The sequence below is a fragment of the Homo sapiens genome, chromosome 5 (assembly GCF_000001405.40).
Source record: "Homo sapiens chromosome 5, GRCh38.p14 Primary Assembly".
In the NCBI taxonomy this organism is placed as follows: Eukaryota; Metazoa; Chordata; class Mammalia; order Primates; family Hominidae; genus Homo; species Homo sapiens.
Genome location: NC_000005.10, coordinates 122626024 through 122645689, shown reverse-complemented (window position 1 = coordinate 122645689; position 19666 = coordinate 122626024). Strand labels below are relative to the sequence as shown.

Sequence of the window (19666 nt, the reverse complement as noted above, 5' to 3'; positions counted from 1 at the left end):
CATATACGGCCTTTAATGTCTTGTGATATGCTCCTTTTATACCTAGTTTGTTGAAGGTTCTTATCATGAAGCGATGTTGAATTTTATCAAATGCTTTTTCTGCATCTGTTGAGATGATCAGACGGGTTTTGTTCTTCATTCTGTTGATGTGATATATTGTGTTTATTGATTTGCATATGTTAAACCATCTTTGCAAACCTGGGATAAATCCCACTTGATCATGGTATCATGGTTTACAGTCTTTTCTATGTACAGTTTGATTTGCTTTGCTAGTATTTTGCTGATAATTTTTGCATCTATGTTCATCAGGTATTTTGGCCTGCAGTTTTTTTTTTTTTGTCCTTGTCTGGTTTTGGTATCAGGGTAATGCTGGCCTCATGGAATGAGTATAGAATGAGTTTCGAATAATTCCTTCCTCTTCAATTTTCAAGAAGAGTTTGAGAAGAATTGGTATTAGTTCTTTAAATATTTGGTAGAATTCAGCAGGAAAGTAATCATAGTTCTCTTAAATATATTTAATTTCTCTTAAATACATTACTTGTCACTTGATGGTCCTTTTGTACTTATCTCAGGAATAAAATGCAGCACATTTTCATGAACTTATGACACTTCTTTCCTAGGTCGTGCCATTCACAAGAAAACACAGAGTGTGGTCATTACCCCAATGGCTATTATTTGCTGATTAATATGAAATGTGTACCTCATTGCTCTGTTTCTGTGCTATTCCATGCCTATTATAACTTTTTGTTTTAGTAACAAATCATAGTGTAATCTTTTTGAAGAAATTTTAAAGTTAACATGAGAAATCTCAACAGTACATGTAACTCATGTGAAGTGCTGATAATATGAGCAGCAATGACCATGTTTGTGCATCTATAGGTAATGACTGCCATATCATGGCTATCACCTGGCCAACAGGGATTTTAAGATCACATTGATTTTTTTTTTTAAATAATAAGGTTTAATTTTTTTTTTTTTTTTGAGACAGTTTCTCTCTTGTTGCCCAGGCTGGAGTGCAATGGCACAATCTCAGCTCACTGCAACTTCCACCTCCCAGGTTCAAACGATTCTTCTGTCTCAGCCTCCCAAGCAGCTGGGATTACAGACACCCACCACCATGCCTGGCTAATTGTTTTTTTTTGTATTTAGTAGAGATGGGGTTTCACCATGTTGGCCAGGCTGGTCTTGAGCTCTTGAGATGCGCCCGCCTCAGCCTCTCAAAGTGTTGGAATTACAGGCATGAGCCACCATGCCCAGCAATAAGGTTTAGTTTTTAGAGCAATTTTAGGTTCACAGTAAACTTGAGCAGAAAGTACAGAGTCTTCCTATCTACCCCACGTCCCCCACACAAACTGCCCAACTAGCAATATCTTGCACAAGGGTTAGGATATTTGTTATAATCAATGAACCTGCACTGACACATCATTACCATCCAGAGTGCATAGTTTACAATAGGGCTCACCCTTGGTGGTGTGTATTCTATGGGTTTGAACAAGTATATGACATGTATCCACTGTTATACTATCATACAGAATAGTTTTACTGCCCCAAAAGTCCTCTGTATTCTGCCTATTCATCCCTCTCTACCCACTGATATCTGGGAACCACTAATCATTTTACTGTCTCCATAGTTTTGCTTTATTCAGAATGTCATGTAGTTGGAATTATATAGTATGTAGCCTTTTCAGACAGGCTGCTTTTATTTAAGTTCTATCATAGTAATATGCATTAAGTTTCCTCTGTATCTTTTCATTTGATGGCTCATTTCTTTTTAGCGCCAAATAATATTCCATCATCTGGATATATCATAGTTTATTTATCCATTTACCTACTGAAGGACATCTTAGTTGCTTCAAAGTTTTGGCAATTATGAGTAAAGCTGCAGCAAACATCCATGTGCAGGTTTTTGTGAGAACGTAAGTTTTCAACTCCTTTGGGTAAATACCAACAAGTATGATTGTTGGATCATCTGGTAGGAGTATGTCTAGTTTTGTAAGGAACTCCTAGACTGTATTCCAAAGTGGCTGTACTGCTTTGCATTCCCATCAGCAATGAATGAGAGTTTGTGTTGCTCCACATTGTCAATAGCATTTGGTGTTGACAGTGTTTTGAATTTTGGCCATTCTAATAGGTACATAGTGGTAACTCATTGTTGTTTTAATTTGCAATTCCCTAATGACAGATGATGTTGAACATCTTTGTAAATGTTTATTCACCATCTTCCTATGATTTTTGGTTATGGTGTCTGTTTAGGTCTTTTGCCCATTTTTAAATTGGGTTGTTCATTTTCTTATTGTTAAGTTTTAAGAGTTCTTTGTATATTTTAAATAATAGCCCTTTATCAGATATGTATTTTGCAAATATTTTCTCCCACTCTGTGGCTTGTCTTCTCATTCTCTTGAAGATCCCACTGATTTTAAGCCATAATTTCAAATATGTAAAATGTGAAAGAGATATTCACTTTAGAATCAGTGAAATATAGTAATTCATGCAAAAGTCTTTTTCAACTTTTATTTTAGATTCAGGGGGTATATGTGCAGGTTTGTTACATGTGCAAAAGTCTTAATGAATCAGCAATGGCAACCAAGAGGGAGGCTGTAGGCTTTGGTTTATTATGGAAACTAGATGACACAAGGCTGAATATAATATTAATAGCAATTTGATCCCCTAAATCATTAATATGGAATGATGAGTCGTATGTAATAGGAAGAAATGTAATAGGAATAAACATAAAATCCTGTACTTAGGCTCAAACAAAACAAAACAACTCTAAAAGTATAAGATAGAGCAGAATTGATTTACATTTTTATATAAATGTGTTTGTATGAAAAGACTGTTGTTAAAAATTGGCTATAGGCCGGGTGCAGTGGCTCACACCTATAATTCCAGCACTTCCAGATGCTGAGGCGGGTGGGCGATTTGAGGTCAGGAGTTCGAGACCAGCTTGGCCAACATGGTGAGACCCCGTCTCTACTAAAAATACAAAAATTAGCCGAGCATAGTGGTGTGCACCTGTAATCCCAGCTACTTGGGAGTCTGAGGTAGGAGAATCAGGTGAACCCGGGAGGCGGAGGTTGCAGTGAGCCAAGATCACACCACTGCACTCCAGCCTGGGTGACAGAGTGAGAGTCCGTCTCAAAAAAAAAAAAAAAAAATGCTATAAATTCAACAACGTGAGGTGACTGCCAAAAAGAAAAAAAATACAGAAGACTTGAATCTCATGTTGTTATCAAAAGTGACAAAAAGACAAAATTCTCATCAAGTCAAAGGTATCTTGAAAATCTGAAATTTCCCATAAGGACAGCAGTAAGGATGAGTGACACTCATCCTTATGCTTATGAATGACACTCCTAAGTGTCATAAGTGACACTCATAAGCATAAGGGTGAGTGACACTTTGCCCTCACCATCAAAACTGTTCAATTTGTGAAACGTGAATGCCCCATTCACATTGCTCATTTCATGTTTACTCTGGAGCATGTGTTCACTGAGTGAGCAGTATCCTTTTCAATTTATTTTTGGTGAAACACATAGTAGAATTAGTATAAATTAAATGCAAGTATATATATAATGTAGCTGCACTGTAATTTTAGATTTGGTTAATAGAAGAATAACTTGCACAGGGCAGGTGAAGGTCCTACTCTCTTCTATGCCAGTCATTCTACATCTGGAACATCCTGTTCAATCCTGTTCATCCCATTCAGTTGTATGACATAACTACAAAGAGTTGCTGACAAATGTGTAGAGGGCAGTGTCTTTAACAAGGAATTGTCCTGGTGACATAACAACTTGTTCTATTGGGAAGAGGGATGCTTAGCTTGGAAAAGGCAGCTTGGAAGCTGTCTTCAAATATTTGAAAAGCTGTCATGTTAAAGATGGATTAGATTTAAGGTGCATCCCCCTTAAGTCAAGACGATACTCCACGTGTCGTCAACTAGTATGGAGCACAGTGGGCAGATAATCTCCCGTTTTCTTGGGGACTGAAAATGTAACTAAAGATTGCAGTTGTTTTTTGGTAGATACATCACATGATTGACTCCTGTTGCATATTCAGTCCACAAAAAGAACAGTTTTTTTTCCAAAGATGTGTTTTCAAGACGGATCTACTTAATCCTGTGCATGGAAAATTAAATTTTGCACCTTAATGAAGACTTTATATTTCTCCCGATTAAATGAAGTTTTATTAGCTTTGCTCTTCAGTTTTAGTTTAATGAGGTTTACTCATGTGTGTGTGGGGAGGGGAGGGGGGCGGGCAATACTAATTGTCTGTGTTTGCTTTCCTGTTCAGCTTTTTTAAATCCACAAACAAGGTATAATTGTTCTATGCTTTTCATCCAAGATGTTAAAGAGAAATGTTGGACAAGATGGGACTGTCTTGATAAATTTCCTGTTGCTTATAACAGAATACTTAAAATTGGGTAATTTATAAAGAAAACGTATTTATTTTTTATAGTTATGGATGCTCACATGTGCAAAGTTAAAGGGCCACATCTGGTGAGGGCTTTCTTGCTGGTGAGGATTCTCTGAAGAGTATTGAGGCAGCAGAGGACATCACATGGTAAGGAGGCCTAAGTGTGCTAACTGAGGTCTCTTTTCTCCTTCTTATAGAGCCACCAGTCCCACTCCCATGATAACCCGTTAATCCACTAATCTGTGCATGGATTAATCCATTCATGAGGGCAGGGCCCTCATGGCCCAAATAACTCTTAAAAGTCCCACCTCTCAATATTTCCACCTTCAGGATTAAATTTCAACATGAGTTTTGGAGGTGACAAATATTTAAACCATGGCATTTCTAAGTGCAAAATAATAAAGGACTCCACTGCAAGCTCCCTCTAATTTGATGCAATCCATAAATTAATATTATTCTCTATTTTGTCTATTAGAATAGAATAAAATTAAGATATACCATTTTTATGACTTTTCCTTAAAAAAACAGTGAAAGTATGGTCAAAAAATTAAATTAGCCTTGTTTGCTATGAATTATTCATAGTATAATTACATTTGCTAATTGTATTTCCCAAATGCTTCCGAGTTATTTAAATATCTTAAAATTGTATTTTGTTTCTAGATATTGGTATCAAATTAATTTGATGGTTTTTAATTTCTGGAATATATTTTTATCTTTCTTTAGAAAATTGGTTAATTTTTCCATTTCTCTCTCTTCTGGTATCTTTGCATTTTCTGTGATTCTTCAAGCATCGCTAGCGAACTTTGCATGAATGCACCTTCAGGGCCCTTCAGTTACTGCAGCTATGGTAATTTGTAATAATTAATCAAAACAGCTTAATTATTACAGTGATCACACATGGAAGTTAACTTGTAAAGTCAGTATGTGAAATGAAAATTGAGTAAAGACAAAAGTGCTCTTGAAATCCCCTTAAATTGCTGATACAGAATATGATTTGGGTATACAATGCCATATATATTATATATATATGATATGAATAGATATATAGTGTACATAGTATAAAATAAAGAGCCTCTATGAAAAAAATACAGTGCAGTCACTATGAGGGCACACAGAGCTGAGACTCATGGAGGGGCAACAGACTCAAAGGCTTCATGTCAGGCAAACTGTGGAGCTTGATGTGAACTCAGTGAATCAATGTGGGCAAGTTTGCCTACTATTAATATCTCTGACTCAGAGTTCGTATAGCTGCGTTCCCATGAATAAACCACTCCTTAATGCAATTTCAGTGTAATGTGTCCTCCATTTTGGGCTTTATTTCTCCCTCAAACCTGCCTTATTTTGGTCTGATGGAACAGCACATACAATAAGTCTTAAAAGGTAGAAAATGAGAATATTTGGTTAACTTAAGTCCTTAAAGAATCCTGCCTGTCATGTGTGTCAGATTTTATTTTCCATTGCATTTTTTTCCCCTTGAATCTGTGGAGAATTATTTCACAAAGACTTTCTCTTTCTGGTATCATGTTGGTCTCTTCTTTGACATCATCTAACCTGTTATTCACACTCCAAGTCCTTTCTATTAAGAAGGCATTTCCTCTAGCAGGAAGAGAACATGAAAGAAGAACCTGTATCCCCAGTCTCTTAAAGTTCCTGGTGGTAGGGGTAAGGGGTATGAAACAAAAATCCTGAAATTTGGTTTAGAGGAAATAACTGAATGCTGGAAATTTCCAAAAAGATTCAGAATGAGACAGCCTTGTATTCTCGTTTGTACACATTTTTCTTTGATCTTTGGGCAAAGAAAAGTGACATCTTGAGAGACTACACAAATAATTCACACAAACACTCCCTACTTCCCATCCCCCACCAAGCTATTGAGAATAGTATTTAAAACCAAACCAAACCTAAGCTGTTTGCATTTCCCCTATTCCCTGCTCCCATGTGTTGTGCACTCAATTCTCAGGCAGAGATGAAACAAAGAATGTACACTGTGTGCCATGCACACTGTCCCTGAGATGCAAAACAATATTATATAAAGCAAAACCTGGACGCTACTAGTAACACTATACCAAGCTCAGTGCGGACTTAAGATACATTTGATCTCCACTGGCAAATAAGATACAGCGAGATTATAGCTGGTTGTAGCTGGGGGTGATGGGGATCGGGTGGCTATGGCAGAGGTGAGCCGGAACACATATGGGTAAACCATCACTTCTAAAGGGTCAGTACGGCAGGAAAGAGATAATAGAGAAAAACCTTCTGTGAAGTATTTCATTTTTGTGATTCTTTAACAATTTACAGAAGCAGTGGCACATAAGGGAAGTTTCCTTCTCTTTGGGGAATCATAAATAAAATAGTGGTGTAATCAAGGACAGAAGAAAAAAGAGACTTCAGGTATTTAATTCTTATTTACCTCCTTCTCCATTATGTATGACTCCTGGGCAGGCAGGAGGGTTACAGAAAACAATAACTCAGCCTAACCCTGTCCGCCAGAGCCTTCCAAGTTCTGAGCCTGCTGCTCTAATTTATTGCTTTCTACTCAGTGAATAGAGAAGGGTTTGAAAAGGTCTTCAGGGAGAAAAAAAAAAGGGGGTGAGGTTTCTGCTGGATTTGCTATCAGGGAAAAAAAAGTGGTGAGGTTTCTGCTGGATTTGCTATCAGGGCTTGTTCATCTCTCTGATCAATAGTCCTCACTGTAGTTTAGGTCTCCACCATGGTCTCCAGAGAGCCTGAGCGTCTGCTGGGGAACTTCCAGAAGCTTCTGTCTGAGGTGAGGGCTGGGAGTGAGGAATACAGATGTTTTGACTGGCTTCTCTGCAGCCTTGGGGGTGTCAGGAGCATCAAGACAACCCTGTGATTGTGGAGAGGCCCCTTTTTGCCCACTCCCTAGCCAGGAATCCTGGCTGTAACTGTCAATTTCTTTACACCTATAACCACTCAAGCCACAGTCAATGCAGAATGAATGCTATGTGCTGTTATTTTAGCAGAATTCACTGACCATGCTAGGGAAGAATATTATGTGGTGAAAGGAAAGTTTAGCCAAGTGGGTTCTGCAGAAAAGGACAAAAAATTGGAGACAAAGATCTCCAGAAAGTAAAGATGGACAAGCTCTCTGGGCAGGTTGTCAGGCCCACTCTCCTGAACTTCAGTTCTAAATTCTTCCCCATGGGAAAATAGCCCATTAGTCCCAATGTATTCTTTTTGAAATGCTTCAGAAACAAATTTCTAAGCATTATTCTCCATAGAATTCCTTACTAAAAAACACACAATGCAAAGATACCATAACTTATATTTGTAACCTTTGACTGAAAAGCAGTGATGACTTATTATAGAAGCAATTGCCAGAGGTTCCTCCTCGGCCATTTCACTCATATTACCAATAAGTTTTCAAACCATAATTTGGTAAGTATTATTAAAATAAAATACAGGCCGGACATGGTGGCTGACACCTTTAATCCCAGCTCTTTGGGAGGCTGAGGCAGGTGGATCACCTGAGGTCAGGAGTTTGAGACCAGCCTGGCCAACATGGTGAAACCCTGTCTCTACTAAAAACACAAACATTAGATAGGCATGGTGGTGCATGCCTGTAATCCCAGCTATTCAGGAGGCCAAGGCAGGAGAATCACTTGAACTGGGGAGGCGGAGGTTGCAGTGAGCAGAGATCGTTCCAGTGCGCTCCAGCCTGGGTGACAGAGTGAGACCCCATCTCAAAAAAAAAAAAATAAAAACCAAAAAAACAATATTTTGGGATTTAGTCACATTTTCTAAATTCTCTCAATATTACTTAATGTCTTGTTACAGCAAAAGATTGTATTTTTTCATAGACTCATCACTATTCAGATTGTATTCCTGTACAAAAAGTGCTGGATTGTTACTTGCCTGAGGTAATTCAGTGGCAGGAATAAGTTTTAGAAGGTATATTTCAGCATTAAAAGTAAGGCATAAATATGAATCAATAAAAAAAAAAACTGTAAGAATGTGGAGGGCTTTGAAAAAAATTTAAAAACATTGGCCAGATGTGTTGATGTGCTCCTGCAGTGTCAGCTACTTGGGAGGCTGAGGTGAGGGGATTACTTGAGCCCAGGAGTCTGAGGCTGCAGTCAGCCATGATCATGACACAGCACCCTAGCCTGGGTGACAGAGTGAGACCCTGACTCAGAAAAGCAAAACAACAACAACAATAACAAAAACCAAAAAAACAATGTGGATGGCTTTGAAAACCGTAATGTTTTAATTTGTTTTAATCACAGTCAGTGATGGGGAAAAGTGATCATTAATCTTGTGGTCAAAGTTTCAGTTTTTGACATAGCCATAGATGACCCCAAGTCATTAGAAAAACAGATCATACAGGTGGCGGAGCCAAGATGGCTGATAGGAACGGCTCCAGTCTACAGCTCCCAGCGTGAGCGATGCAGAATACGAATGATTTCTGCATCACCAACTGAGGTACCAGGTTCATCTCACTGGGAATTGACAGACAGTGGGTGCAGGACAGTGGGTGCAGCACACTGAGTGTGAGCTGAAGCAGGGCGAGACATCGCCTCACCTGGGAAGTGCAAGGGGTCAGGGAATTCCCTTTTCTAGCCAAGGAAAGGGGTGACAGATGGCATCTGGAAAATTGGGTCACTCCCACCCTAATACTGTGCTTTTCCAATGGTCTTAGCAAACGACACACCAGGAGATTATATCCCGTGTCTGGTTCGGAGGGTCCTACGCCCATGGAGCCTCGCTCATTGCTAGCAAAGCAGTCTGAGATCAAACTGCAAGGCTGCAGTGAGGCTGGGGGAGGGGCGCCCACCATTGCCAAGGCTTGATTAGGTAAACAAAGCCACTGGGAATCTCGAACTGGGTGGAGCCCACCAGAGCTCAAAGAGGCCTGCCTGCCTCAGTAGACTCCACCTCTGGGGGCAGGGCATCCCAAAACAAAAGGCAGCAGAAACCTCTGCAGACTTAAATGTCCCTGTCTGACAGCTTTGAAGAGAGTAGTGGTTCTCCCAGCACGCAGCTTCAGATCTGAGAACGGACAGACTGCTTCCTCAAGTGGGTCCCTGACCCCTGAGTAGCCTAACTGTGAGGCACCCCCCAGTAGGGGCAGACTGACACCTCACACAGCCGGGTACTCCTCTGAGACAAAACTTCCAGAGAAACGATCAGGCAGCAACATTTGTTGTTCAGCAATATTCACTGTTCTGCAGCCTCCGCTGCTCATAACCAGGCCAACAGGGTATGAAGTGGACATCTAGCAAATTCCAACAGACCTGCACCTAATGGTCCTGACTGTTAGAAAGAAAACTAACAAACAGAAAGGACATCCACACCAAAACCCCATCTGTACGTCACCATCATCAAAGACTAAAGGTAGGTAAAATCACAAAGATGAGGAAGAAACAGAGCAGAAAAACTGAAAATTCTAAAAATCAGAGCGCCTTTCCTCCTCTAAAGGAACGCAGCTCCTTGCCAGCAATGGAATAAAGCTGGATGGAGAATGACTGACGAGTTGAGAGAAGAAGGCTTCAGACGATCAAATTACTCTGAGCTAAAGGAGGAAGTTCGAACCCATGGCAAAGAAATTAAAAACCTTGAAAAAAGATTAGACTAATGGCTAACTAGACTAACCAATGCAGAGAAGTCCTTAAAGGACCTGATGGAGCTGAAAACCATGGCACAAGAACTATGTGATGAATGTACAAGCTTCAGTAGCTGATTTGATCAACTGGAAGAAAGGGTATTAGTGATGGAAGATCAAATGAATGAAATGAAGCGAGAAGAGAAGTTTAGAGAAAAAAGAATAAAAAGAAATGAACAAAGCCTCCAAGAAATATGGGACTATGTGAAAAGACCAAATCTATGTCTGATTGGCGCACCTGAAAGTGACGGAGAGAATGGAACCAAGTTGGAAAACACTTTTTGGGATATTACCTAGGAGAACTTCCCCAATCTAGCAAGGCAGGCCAACATTGAAATTCAGGAAATACAGAGAACACCACAAAGATACTCCTTGAGAAGAGCAACTCAAAGACACATAACTGTCAGATTCACCAAGGTTGAAATGAAGGAAAAAATGTTAAGGGCAGCCAGAGAGAAAGGTTGGGTTACCCATGAAGGGAAGCCCATTAGACGAACAGCGGATCTCTCAGCATAAATTCTACAAGCCAGAAGAGAGGGGGGGCCAATATTCAACATTCTTAAAGAAAAGAATTTTCAACCCAGAATTTCATATCCCGCCAAACTAAGCTTCATAAATGAAGGAGAAATAAAATACTTTACAGACAAGCAGATGCTGAGAGATTTTGTCACCACCAGGCCTGCCCTACAAGAGCTCCTGAAGGAAATACTAAACATGGAAAGCAACAACTGGTACCAGCCACTGCAAAAACATGCCAAATTGTAAAGAGCATCAATGCTAGGAAGAAACTGCATCAACTAATGAGCAAAATATCCGGCTAACATCATAATGACAGGATCAAATTCACACATAACAATATTAATCTTAAATGTAAAGGGGCTAAATGCTCCAATTAAAAGACACAGACTGGCAAATTGGATAAAGGGTCAAGACCCATCAGTGTGCTGTATTCAGGAAACCCATCTCACAGAGACACACATAGGCTCAAAATAAAGGGATGGAGGAAGATCTACCAAGCAAATGGAAAACAAAAAAGGCAGGGGTTGCAATCCTAGTCTCTGATAAATCAGACTTTAAACCAACAAAGATCAAAAGAGACAAAGAAGGCCATTACATAATGGTAAAGGGATCAATTCAACAAGAAGAGCTAACTATCCTAAATATATATGCACCCAATACAGGAGCACCCAGTTTCATAAAGCAAGTCCTTAGAGACTTACAAAGAGACTTAGACTTCCACACAATAAAAATGGGAGACTTTAACACTCCACTGTCAACATTAGACAGATGAACGAGACAGAAATTCAACAAGGATATCCAGGAATTGAACTCAGCTCTGCAACAAGTGGACCTAATAGACACCTACAGAACTCTCCACCCCAGATCAACAGAATATACATTCTTTTCAGCACCACACCAGACCTATTCCAAAATTGAGCACATAGTTGGAAGTAAAGCACTCCTCAGCAAATGTAAAAGAACAGAAATTATAGCAAACTGTCTCTCAGACCACAGTGCAATCAAACTAGAACTCAGGATTAAGAAACTCATTCAAAACTGCTCAACTACATGGAAACTGAACAACCTGTTCCTGAATGACTACTGGGTACATAACGAAATGAAGGCAGAAATAAAGATGTTCTTTGAAACCAACGAGAACAAAGACACAACATACCAGAATCTCTGGGACACATTTAAAGCAGTATGCAGAGGGAAATTTATAGCACTAAATGCCCACAAGAGAAAGCAGAAAAGATCTAAAATTGACACCCTAACATCACAATTAAAAGAACTAGAGAAGCAAGAGCAAATACATTGAAAAGCTAGCAGAAGGCAAGAAATACCTAAGATCAGAGCAGAACTGAAGGAGATAGAAACATAAAAAACCCTTCAAAAAATCAGTGAATCCAGGAGCTGGTTTTTTGAAAAGATCAACAAAATTGATAGACTGCTAGCAAGACTAATAAAGAAGAAAAGAGAGAAGAATCAAATAGATGCAATAAAAAATGATAAAGGGGATATCACCACTGATCCCACAGAAATACAAACTACCATCAGAGAATACTGTAAACACCTCTATGCAAATAAACTAGAAAATCTAGAAGAAATGGATAAATTCCTGGACACATACACCCTCCCAAGACTAAACAAGGAAGAAGTTGAATCTCTGAATAGACCAATAACAAGCTCTGAAATTGAGGCAATAATTAATAGCTTACCAACCAAAAAAAGTCCAGGACCAGATGGATTCATAGCCGAATTCTACCAGAGGTACAAGGAGGAGCTGGTACCATTCCTTCTGAAACTATCCCAATCAATAGAAAAAGAGGGAATCCTCCCTAACTCATGTTATGAGGCCAGCATCATCCTGATACCAAAGCCTGGCAGAGACACAACAAAAAAAGAGAATTTTAGACCAATATCCCTGATGAACATCCATGCAAAAATCCTCAATAAAATACTGGCAAACTGAATCCAGCAGCACAACAAAAAGCTCATCCACCATGATCAAGTGGGCTTCATCCCTAGGATGCAAGGCTGGTTCAACATACAGAAATCAATAAATGGAATCCAGCATATAAACAGAACCAATGACAGAAACCACATGATTATCTCAATAGATGCAGAAAAGGCCTTTGACAAAATTCAACAACGCTTCATGCTAAAAACTCTCAATAAATTAGGTATTGATGGGACGTATCTCAAAATAATAAGAGCTATCTATGACAAACCCACAGCCAATATCATACTGAATGGGCAAAAGCTGGAAGCATTCCCTTTGAAAACTGGCACAAGACAGGGATGCCCTCTCTCACCTCTCCTATTCAACATAGTGTTGGAAGTTCTGGCCAGGGCAATCAGGCAGGAGAAGGAAATAAAGGGTATTCAATTAGGAAAAGAGGAAGTCAAATTGTCCCTGTTTGCAGACGACATGATTGTATATCTAGAAAACTCCATTGTCTCAGCCCAAAATCTCCTTAAGCTGATAAGCAACTTCAGCAAAGTCTCAGGATACAAAATCAATGTGTAAAAATCACAAGCATTCTTATACACCAGTGACAGAGAGCCAAATCATGAGTGAACTCCCATTCACAATTGCTTCAAAGAGAATAAAATACCTAGGAATCCAACTTTCGAGAGACGTGAGGGACCTCTTCAAGGAGAACTACAAACCACTGCTCAAGGAAATAAAAGAGGATAAAAACAAATGGAAGAACATTCCATGCTCATGGGTTGGAAGAATCAATATCATGAAAATGGCCATACTGCCCAAGGTAATTTATAGATTCAATGCCATCTCCATCAAGCTACCAATGACTTTCTTCACAGAATTGGAAAAAACTACTTTAAAGTTCATACGGAACTAAAAAAGAGCCCACATTGCCAAGTCAATCCTAGGCCCAAAGAAGAAAGCTGGAGGCATCATGCTACCTGACTTCAAACTACACTACAAGGCTACAGTAACCAAAACAGCATGGTACTGGTACCAAAACAGAGATATAGATCAATGGAACAGAACAGAGCCCTCAGAAGTAATGCCACATATCTACAACCATCTGATCTTTGGCAAACCTGATAAAAACAAGAAATGGGGAAAGGATTCCCTATTTAATAAATGGTGCTGGGAAAACTGGCTAGCCATATGTAGAAAGCTGAAACTGGATCCCTTCCTTATACCTTATACAAAAATTAATTCAAGATGGATTAAAGACTTAAATGTTAGACCTAAAACCATAAAAACCCTAGAAGAAAACCTAGGCATTACCATTCAGGACATAGGCATGGGCAAGGACTTCATGTCTAAAACACCAAAAGCAAAGGCAACAAAAGCCAAAATTGACAAATGGGATCTAATTAAACTCAAGAGCTTCTGCACAGCAAAAGAAACTACCATCAGAGTGAACAGGCAACCTACAGAATGGGAGAAAATTTTCACAACCTACTCATCTGACAAAGGGCTACTATCCAGAATCTACAATGAACTCAAACAAATTTACAAGAAAAAAACAACCCCATCAACAAGTGGGCAAAGGATATGAACAGACACTTCTCAAAAGAAGACATTTATGTAGCCAACAGACACATGAAAAAATGCTCATCATCACTGGCCATCAGAGAAATGCAAATCAAAACCACAATGAGATACCATCTCACACCAGTTAGAATGGTGATCATTAAAAAGTCAGGAAACAACAGGTGCTGGAGAGGATGTGGAGAAATACGAACACTTTTACACTGTTGGTGGGACTGTAAACTAGTTCAACCATTGTGGAAGTCAGTGTGGCGGCTCCTCAGGGATCTAGAACTAGAAATACCATTTGACCCAGCCATCCCATTACTGGGTATATACCCAAATGACTATAAATCATGCTGCTATAAAGACACATGCACACGGATGTTTATTGCGGCACTATTCACAATAGCAAAGACTTGGAACCAACCCAAATGTCCAAGAAGGATAGACTGGATTAAGAAAATGTGGCACATATATACCATGGAATACTATGCAGCCATAAAAAATGATGAGTTCATGTCCTTTGTAGGGACATGGATGAAGCTGGAAACCATCATTCTCAGAAAACTATCGCAAGGACAAAAAAACAAAACACCGCATGTTCTCACTCATAGGTGGGAATTGAACAATGAGAACACATGGACACAGGAAGGGAAACATCACACACCGGGGCCTGTTTTGGGGTGGCAGGATGGGGGAGGCATAGCTTTAGGAGATATACCTAATGTAAACGACGAGTTTGGAAGCAACTATATCCAGACACTTGTGATTGGACAAAACAACAGCTATCTGAATATGAATATGGCAGATTGGCTGTTACTCCTGTGGGACTAGGAGCAGGAGTGCTGGGATAAGCGTGAGGCAGGTGAGGCATTTCAGATGCAAAGTATAAGTGTATGATAGGACCCCAAAACCCTCTATCTCCTTAAGTTTTGTGCCTTAGGCATCTCACTTGCCTCCCCAACTCCTAGCTCTGAAAAATAAGATTAGTTATATGAGTTAGGTGTATTGTATATGTTGAAGAATATTTGTATATAAGAGATCTAAACACTAAAATGAAAGCACAGCCTTGGAAATTGTAATTATTTTACTTTATCCTGCACTTATGTTAATTTTTTTCTCCACCATGTACAAAAAGTGCTCATGTTACACAAATTAAATATTTAAGAAATGTAAAATCATGCTGTTTTGGGAGAGTTGATGCAGAACTAATAGTAGGAAAATGACTTTATGACATGGCTGCATGATCTTTCTTATGAAGAGCTATTTTTGCTGGCATTTCTGTAATCACCACATATTGTGGTTAGACAGCAAGTTGATTTCAAATCACACTTTTATAGGTAGAAAGCGATTTTATTTGCTTTATAAGTTCTTACCATAATAGTATAAGCAAGTTGGCAGCTTAAGAAATCAATTTTGAAGTGACTGAAAATTTCTTCCTTAATGTCATACAATGTTGGGATATAAATTGATCAGGAATCTCGCCAATGTCTTTCCAATGGTCTAAGAAGAAAAAAGTAAGATATGCACTATTTAATAGTGAAGGATTGATGGAAAATCTTTGAGGAGCTTTTGAAGGTGAAAAAAAGTCTTCTTGCAAATGGCTGATTTTGTAGTCACCAACTGCACCCACAGCTATATGCCAGAGCTGTATTGGCACAAGTGACTTATATCCATAAATTTTCTTTCATCAGCACAATTACTACAATTGTCCTTGGAGTACAAAAGATGCAGGCCCAAGTTTACAGATGCTCTCAGCATTTTTCTTCCATTTTCTGATTTTCTTTATGTGCATACTTAGCCTTAAACCAAGGATTACCTACTTTTCTTTGGAGCAACAAAGATGTTTTCTATGTAAGGCTTTTTTTTTTTTTTTTTTTAAATTTTAGGCTCAGCCCAATTAAAATAGACACTTCTAACGGTACTTTCTTAAAATAAATAATAAGTTGGTAATTACCAAAGTTTTAAGGTGACTTACTTGAGTATCAGTTTGCTAATTTCATTTTCATTAAATTTGCAGACAAATATTTTCTGCTTCCTTCAAAGCCACAAACAACTATGACTACATTTAATTCAACCCAAAGCAAATTACAAATATTGTAACTACGTATAAGCAAACTGTTTCAATGTCAAAGGTTCAATACAAGGAGGAAAGCAATGTGCTGATTACAGCAATAATTCAAATTTCCAAGTATGCTTGCCATCTCTTTTCTGCAGACAGATTTCTTCCGAGTCACCGGTGGGAGCTTCCCAGGGAGATGCGGCTTTATTCCCTCATGGCAGACAGGAGGAGGATGCTGAGCGGGAGCTGATGCCACCTGGCAGCAATGGTGGCACAGACTGCTGGAGAGGCACAGATTGGAACCCAAGCCTCATCAGACGGCAGCTGTGACAGCGGCATATTTCAAAAATGTATTGCAAATTTCACACAAGGGGTCTTTAAAAAAATTTGAAAGTCTCCTTGGCTTTCACAGACTTTTAATTAAGAGAGAACTCCTCTTCTTTGAAAATCAAAACACTTTTTGCCTATTTTATGTATCTAAAGGTAGATGGGAACTTACAGCCACATTTAAAAAATTTGCAGTTGATTATGTGGTTTTCAAATTTAATAACCTACTATGAATAATTAACTCAACAAGAAGAAAAGGGCACATTGGCACCTCACAATTAAAAGAGTAAGAGTGAAATTATGCTACCTTTGAAGACTTTATTTATTTATTTATTTATTTATTTATTTATTTATTTAGATGGAGTTTCACTCTTGTTGCCCAGGCTGGAGTGCAGTGGCACGACCTCGGCTCACTGCAACCTCCGTCTCCCTAGTTCAAGCGATTCTCCTGCCTCAGCCTCTCAAGTAACTGGGATTACAGGCATGCACCACCACACCCAACTAATTTTGTATTTTTTAGGAGAGATGGGGTGTCACCATGTTGGTTAACTGGTCTCAAACTCCTGACCTCAGGGTGATCCACCTGCCTTGGCTTCCCCACGTGATAGGATTACAGGCGTGAGCCACTGCACCCGGCCTGAAGACATTCTGTATTCGAATGTTCAGCCTCTACTTGCCATGTTAGCAAATGAAAGGGTAGTGATCATGGAAGAAGTTTATCTTTTGGGATCTCACATGCAAACTTGAGAACTTCTTTCTTGCTAACTGCAGAAGAAAAGGTCCAGGTTCTATTTCCTTAGTTAGCCTCTTTCAGAGAGGGTTTCTGGATCCAGATTAAGCCACAATTGAGAAGGATCAATGCATATAGCTCTTCAGACCATAGAATCACAGATGAGAGCAGAAACTAAGAAGCATCCATCTCTATTTCTCTCTGCCTCTGTGTAAATATCTCCGAAAGAGGAACATCAATCATGGGCTCTGAAGCTTACTAGAGATAAGAATATCTACCTCATTTGCTCTAGTGACTTTGTTCTTGGTGGGTCCAGGTTGTGTGGAACCTGAAGTTTTCACAATTATGGGGTTCTTTTTTAAGCAAAATACTACAGAATTACCAATAAGAAATCAAGTTCAGGGATTTAAGATTCTAGAGCTGGCCGGGCGCGGTGGCTCACGCCTGTAATCCCAGCACTTTGGGAGGCCGAGGCGGGCGGATCACGAGGTCAGGAGATCGAGACCATCCCGGCTAAAACGGTGAAACCCCGTCTCTACTAAAAATACAAAAAATTAGCCGGGCGTAGTGGCGGGCGCCTGTAGTCCCAGCTACTTGGGAGGCTGAGGCAGGAGAATGGCGTGAACCCGGGAGGCGGAGCTTGCAGTGAGCCGAGATCCCGCCACTGCACTCCAGCCTGGGCGACAGAGCGAGACTCCGTCTCAAAAAAAAAAAAAAAAAAAAAAAAAAAAAAAAAAAAAAAAAAGATTCTAGAGCTAAGCTTCATTAGCTTCGTGGTGAGTCCACCTCAGGGTCTTATACATCCGTGCAAGTTCCACTTCTGACAGGTAGTGCAGTGGGCCAGGTTCAGTCTCCACATGAAGAGTGTGGAGAGGGTTTTGTCTGCGTAAGATTCCTATGGGTTTCAGAAGGACAATATGGCTTCTTCACCACAGAAATCTAAACCCCATGAAGTCAACTTTTAGGGATGTGTAGAGTAGCTGGTAAAATATGAATGACTAGACTTTTATTTCTTTCCATACAGTCTGCACAAAATGCTGTTTTGAACAGTCAGTAAAGCCAAAGAAATGGATCATTTTGAAAGGCCATTTGACCCTTTTTTTTTAATCAGTTATATGACCGCATATTTTATCCCTTTCTCATGTACTTACCAGCCCTTCCAACCTGAAAGGGTGATTCTCAATTTTAGCTATAAGGCTGTGAATTCAGTTTGAAGCAGATGGTTAAGCTTGATCATTACAGGTTGACAGTATATCTACAATTGACTTCAATGGCCTTTGTAAAAGAGTGCCATCTCCACACAGAAACTACAGGAGCCCAGCATCACATGAGGGAGTCATCTCCCAGTGAGTGATGATAAGTCTGTTCAGGGCACGACACACTCAAATGCTATCTTAATCCATTCAAAATCACTGTATCTAATTTAAAAAAAAATTTATTTTTATTTTTAGCTAGCCTTGACTCCTAGTTCAAGGTGATGGAAATATTTCCCAAAATTGGTAGATATAAAGTATATTAAACTTCAGTCAGGATGGGGTCAGTACCAGGGCATTATGTATAGGAAGAAAGAGTTCTTTCTATTCACCACATTTAATCGGTTCCCTTGATGCCTCAGTGGAATTTGACAGGTCTGTGTTTTCAATTCTTTCTTCCACACTTCCTGCCTCTTTGCTTTCTCTTAGGGAGCTCTTTACACAAATCTCTCTTCATCTTTTGCTCTCAGTTTAAAAATAACTATTCAATAAAATGTGTGTACACATTCTTTTTCTTTAGTATATATATTTAAAAGAGTAAAAACCCCACAAGAATTATATCATTGCTCTGAACATTATTCACTAAGTACTATATTTTAATGCTTTACGGTAGAGATGAGCGATATCAGTTGGCCCAATTCAAAAACGGGATCAGGGCCATAGGATGTTAAGAGAAATTAAATTGGCATTCATAATTTACAGAATGCTGTCAGAAATAAATTCTGGCTAATCTTGGAAGCTGGCCAATGTTGAGAATCCAGCAATCTACTGATACTTACCAGTCCTGGAACAGTACAGAAACGAAGCTGTACTTCACCAAAATTCATGATTGGACTTAAAGGCCAGGAAGACAAAAGAAGGACAAGGTCGCTTTAAATCTATAGACTCCCTCTTACCTCACAGAATTGTTATGAGAATTAATTGAGATTATCTACATGACTACTTTTATAGATGATAAATCCTTGTTTAAAATTTTAGACATTATTTTTGCCTGAGGCTGAGACATATTCAAAGGGCTACAGGAGAAGGTGAGGGGAAGAACTGTCCTTAAACTTGAATCCCATTGTAATATTGATGTATTAAAATAAAAGTTGACTTGCCTGTGGGCAGGATCAATTAGAAAACTTCTGCCGTGGTGGATTTTCTTTTTTTTCGAGATGGAGTCTTGCTCTGTCACCCAGGCTGGACTGCAATGGTACTATCTTGGATCATTACAATCTCTGCCTCCTGGGTTCAAGTTATTCTC

At 39.3% G+C, this 19666-nt stretch overlaps 1 long non-coding RNA gene across 1 annotated transcript in view; it reads left to right on the top strand.

Moving 5' to 3' along the window:
- Positions 1–16738, top strand: part of LINC02201 (long intergenic non-protein coding RNA 2201) — a 101609-nt gene extending 84871 nt beyond the window's left edge. Inside the window, exons 9-12 of the long non-coding RNA NR_109881.1 lie at positions 4453–4557; positions 5199–5257; positions 6709–6801; positions 16266–16738. This is a non-coding gene — a long non-coding RNA (long intergenic non-protein coding RNA 2201). The remainder of the gene's footprint in view (positions 1–4452; positions 4558–5198; positions 5258–6708; positions 6802–16265) is intronic.
- The last annotated feature ends 2928 nt before the right edge of the window (positions 16739–19666 follow it).